The sequence below is a fragment of the Homo sapiens genome, chromosome 11, assembly GCF_000001405.40.
Source record: "Homo sapiens chromosome 11, GRCh38.p14 Primary Assembly".
NCBI lineage: Eukaryota > Metazoa > Chordata > Mammalia > Primates > Hominidae > Homo > Homo sapiens.
Genome location: NC_000011.10, coordinates 79,469,193 through 79,474,394, shown reverse-complemented (window position 1 = coordinate 79,474,394; position 5,202 = coordinate 79,469,193). Strand labels below are relative to the sequence as shown.

The following is a 5,202-nucleotide window of genomic DNA, read 5'->3' as shown; positions in this document are numbered from 1 at the left end:
TGGTGTCCCACTGTGTGTCCTAATCTCCTCTTATAAGGCCACCAGTAAGATTGGATTAGAGCCCATTCTGAGGGCCTCATTTTACCTTAATTGCCCCTTTCAAGGCTCTATTTCCAAATACAATCACATTCTGAGATACTGGAGGTTAGGGATTCAACACATGAATTTGGAGGGGTCACAGTTCAGCCTGTAACACTGGCCTTCTGTGATTTGGGCCTAGGACTCTCATTGCCCCATATCCCCACCACACTTGTACTCACATATCTGGAATAGCAGCTCTGAACCTGTCACATTCTTAATTTCTCACTGCAAGCCTGGGCTATGAAGCCAGTCCTGCCAAGACAGCCACAGCCCCAGGCCCCCTGCCTTGAAGCATAATGGGAAACCATGAAGCTGTTTGTGTTTCATGTCATATTTTTATGTCCCAACTGCTAAAAATATTTTAAAATAAAATGAAAACAATATATACTGTACACATATATTGTATATGACTCTAAAATAAAAATTCTCATTTGTTCCCTTGAAGATCTGGCCTACTTTTGTTTACATTTTAGGATTCAGTTAGTAAAGACAGTAAAAAAATCTTTGGACAATGACCGTTCATAGCCTATTTACATAAGCTTTTAGAAAAGACTACAGAGTGTGGACAACCTTCATGAGGAAGCGTGTTATCGTGGATCAAAGCAGAGATTTTGGAATCAGACAGGCCTGCATTTAAATTCTGCTTCTGCTTCTTATTAATTATGTGACCTTGAGCAAACTGCTGAACCTTTTAGTTTCCTCATTTATAATAATACCGGGCTCATGTGGCCACTGTAAGAAACAAGTGAGATAATGTACACCCAGCATCCACACAAGGTCTGGACAATAGAGTGGGTGGCTCAAGAAATGGAGGCTCCCTTCCCTTTCCCCCTGGAACCACAGGACTTCAGAGAGGTGTACACTCCCACCAGTCAGACCCCCTCCTTTCATCCCATCCCCAAAGTGGCACCTGGGCCCTGATCTCCTTCTGTTCTTGATAAAATCCTTCATCCACTTTCACCCAATGACGAGGGTTTGTGCAAATCCTATGTTAATAGATTCCTTTGACCAATTCACTTGGCAGGTTTTACATTTGAAAGACTGACAGCTTCCCTCAGCCTTTCTCAGGGGGCCCTGCGGAGGGTCTGGAAACCTCTCAGAGATTAACTTCTGCTTCCTCAGCCCCTCCAACTAGCTCCCTGTGAGCCGAGGAAGATTCACCCCTGGGCTTCACCCCTTCTTCCCTGCTCTACCCCCAGAGTAAGTAAAGGCAGACTTGCTGACAAAGTTTAGAAAATAAATGTAGAGGAGGAGGAGGAAAAAACTGAACATTACAGAGCCCCACGCCGCCTTTGTTAATCTCATGTCGGTGACCTAACTTAGTCTTCCCAACCCCCCAGTGTGGCCTACATCATTGGAGGAGACTGAGATTCAGAAAGGTTAATTAACCAGCGCCAAGTGGCAGAGCGAGCTTTGAGGCCATGTCAGTGAGACTGAAGCCAAGCCCAGTGTTCTTTCCAATGTTCCCAGCTGCAGCCTGGGACCTCAGCTCTCCCTACAATCTCCCACCTGACATTCCTCTGCCCCTCTCTTAGGGCATCCATCATGTTCTTTCATTAGATTCCTTGAGGACAGACAGGTCTTCTGTCTTTGACTTGTTCAGGACAGGAGGGGTGCCTGATTCTTTATTTTCTTTCCCCCACAGTGCCAAGCACGTCGTAGGCACTTAGGATGTGTGTGGAACATGAACCGATGAAGAGTTAAATAAATGAGTGCATAAATAAATGAACATATAAGCTAACAGACAACATATCTATGAATAAACGAAGTTAGAAGTGGTTGACTGGATATGGGGATAAATGGATGGATGGATGGATGGAGGAACAAGCACTTGTAAGAAAAAGTAAATAAGTTTTTCTCACATAGGCAAAAATGAGTGCATGCACGTTAATCAAGTGCATGGATTGCATGGGTGTAGTAATAGGCAAATGAATGAATATGTCAATGAATAATAATGTAAATGAATGTGTAAATTAATGAATCAATAAATACATATATGAATGAGTAATATTAAGTGGGCAAATGTACACATGAGAGTGAATGGATAAATTAATAGGTAAATACACTCATGCAAGGAGGAATGAATGAATAAACACATGAATGGACTGATGAATGCACACATGCAGCAATGAAGGAATAGCTGAGTGAATGAGCCAACAAATGGGTGAATGAAAGCCCTCTCTATTTTCCCAGATGACACCACCCGCTAAGCACAGGATTCAGAGGGCCGACTGAGATTCCAGGAGACAGTATTCAAGTTGGTGCTAGAGGTCTGGGGTGGGATTAAAGATTAGGGCCCAACTGTGCATAGACTGCATGTGCTGGAGTTCCCTGTAGTATCTGCCACATCTCCTAAGAACCAGACATGGAGGTGGTTGTCAGGAGCCCACTGGCTCCAGCAAGTGAGAATTATGGGTCATTCCTCCAGGGAGCCTCCAGGCACAGGGAGTCCTACTCTACCCAGTGTTCCCTTTGTCCTACTCTCTATATTCCCACCCAGCGCCCCACTCCACAACAAGGCCAGAGCACAAGCAGGCAACCACAGACAAGGAAATTAATTCTTAGCATCTAAGAACAGCCTCCTTTAATGAAGAGGCTGCTGCAATATCTTTGCAACAAGCAGCAACCCACATGTTTGATTACAACAGGTTGAGCCATTCCATGCTCCCCAGTGCCAGGGCTCAGGGAAAGAGGGAGGAAAAACAACAAAACCTAAGCACTAAGCAAGAACACACAGTTTCTGACACAACCAGCCTGTGGTCCTGGCTCTGTCCAAGTTGAAAGAGCTATGGCATTTCTTGCCGAAGAGCTCAGCCTCTTAACTCTTCTTCCTGCCCATTGCTGAGCAATGCTTTTCTTTGCTTCTTTTTTTCTTTTTCCACTTCAAAATCAGCCACGATGGGTTTTGAATGGACTGACACCTTCTCCCTTCTCAGCCCTGGGAGCCGATTTGGTCAGGATTGTGGCAAACCGGTATTTCAGGTCCCCTTGGCAACCCCCAGTGCACTGTCTCCTGAGGATTGAGCTTCTAAGGGACTGCGAGGAGACAAGACTTCTGGGTGAGCATCCACACCTTCCTCTTTGTTTCTTTGCTGCCACATTCAGCATAGGTCGCTGTTTCAAAGAGAGGAGAGGTTGGTTGGGAGGAAAGGCTGTCCTGGAAGTTAGGAATGACACATAAAAATGAACACACTATGCTGTGTTCCTGCTGCTAGGGGGAGAAGGAGCAACATGAAGATTCCTAGGAATGACAACTTACCATTTTCAATTTTCACCCTTGTCATTGCTTGTCTTATGATGCAACCTTAGAGTGACACTTGCCACTGGACGTTGGGGTGCCTTTTTGGCCTGAGACGTTTGTCAGCCATTGAATCAATCATCCCAGCTTTCCACTTGCACCAGAAGGATTTGTCCCTGCTCACAGCTGGGGATGAGCTGGAGGGGAGGGGACCTGTGCAGCCTATGCACTATCTCAGAATTGTGGAGACAGTGCTGTGTTTAGTGTAGCATGTTTCTTCTCCACCCTTGGTTTCCTTTTTCCATGAAGAATTGCTTAAAAATTATGTATTTTTTTTTCAAAAAGGGCTTTGAACACAGCACCAGGAAGGTCTACATAGCTATCCACCCTTATTCCCGAGTTCAACTTTGGGATTTGTTTGGGGAAGGGGGTGCAGAGGGATAAAGGCATCAGGAGAAAGACGTTGGTCTTGGTGACTAACTCCAAACAACAGCCACCGACAAAAACAGTGATGTGTAAATTACTGATTTTTATTGGACACTTTGGGGAATATAGTTGTTTGTCAGGAAATGAAAGAGAATGTTTGTGCTTATAAAATTATATGGAAAATCAATGTGGTGTTAAGTATATTTTTCAGTTATTCGAGTCAAGGACTGTTCTCTAGCCAATTCTAGCAAGCACTAAAGGAGACAGACTTCCTGAAGCCCAGCCAAGGGGCCGAACAGAAAGCCCAAGCTGTGGTTCATTGCTGTTCTCTGTCACTTGGGGAAATGCCTGGGGTGGGTGTGAAGGGACTTCTGGAGCCATGCAAAGTTGCAAATGTGGATGTTAGACCTTCATTATTAACAGCAATGCTCAGGACTGTGCTAAACAGAGCACTCTGAAGTCTAGACCTATTTCTGGTTTTCCTTTTCTTGTGCTCCAACCCAGGGATTCTAAGTACTGAGCCCCTGTCACAGGTGGGGTGATCCCTGCAGGAGCTGGGAATTCATAAAAGCATGCTGCAGGGGAGGAGAAATGGGAGAAAATGGAAGCCCCACCTTGGCTCAGTGGTTCAAGAGATGCCTGTCATTAGTAGAAGTGGGGTGTTTGGTGCTACTAAATGGACCTGTGGTTCTGTCTATCCCTGGGCCTTGGACAAGGATATGAAAGGAGAGTGTAGAACAGCCAGGGCCTCTGTCCCTTTGGAAAGCACTTGACACTGCACCCTTGCTGGGGGTCTTTGACATGAAGGAATTAGTAAGAGTAAGATGCTGAGCAATCTACACAGAGCTCTTAGAAGATGAAAAATTGACGGTCAAGAAGCTACCAACAAAACTCACCTGTGACTATAAATCTTTACCAATTGATAATGTGATTACTTTTAAGACACTGAATTGGAAGCCTACAGTCTTCACTGCCATTCCTTCACTGTGTAACCCAAGGCAAATCTTTGGCTTCTCTGGGCTTTGCATCCCTTTGTCCATGTACTTTCTTTTCACTGGGTCTTGCTCTGTCGCCCAGGCTGGAGTGCAGTGGCACGATCTCGGCTCACTGCAACCTCCCCTTCCTGGATTCAAGCAGTTTCCCTGCCTCAGCCTCCAGAGTAGCTGAGATTACAGAAGCCTGCCACCACACCTGGCTAATTTTTGTATTTTTAGTAGAGACGGGGTTTCACCATGTTGGCCAGGATGGTCTCGAACTCCTGACCCCAAGTGATCCACCCACTTCAGCCTCCCAAAGTGCCGGGATTACAGGCGTGAGCCACTGTGCCTGGCCTCCATGTACTTTCTTATAAGGAGCTTCTTAAGACCTTATTCCTCTAAATTCTGTGATTTTATGATGAGGGATTCTTATTGACTAGTGGAGATCACAGCTCAGTGGATAAAGATGGGGCCTAGACT

The 5,202-nt window shown here is 45.4% G+C and overlaps 2 annotated features.

The window, feature by feature from the left end:
• Positions 209-792: an enhancer, noted in NCBI's record as "H3K27ac hESC enhancer chr11:79184647-79185230 (GRCh37/hg19 assembly coordinates)". NCBI's record gives its function as "activates a minimal SCP1, AML or CMV promoter by ChIP-STARR-seq in naive H9 embryonic stem cells {active_cell/tissue: H9 hESC(naive)}" and the evidence as "EXISTENCE:reporter gene assay evidence [ECO:0000049][PMID:30033119]".
• Positions 2,038-2,604: an enhancer, noted in NCBI's record as "H3K27ac-H3K4me1 hESC enhancer chr11:79182835-79183401 (GRCh37/hg19 assembly coordinates)". NCBI's record gives its function as "activates a minimal SCP1, AML or CMV promoter by ChIP-STARR-seq in primed H9 embryonic stem cells {active_cell/tissue: H9 hESC(primed)}" and the evidence as "EXISTENCE:reporter gene assay evidence [ECO:0000049][PMID:30033119]".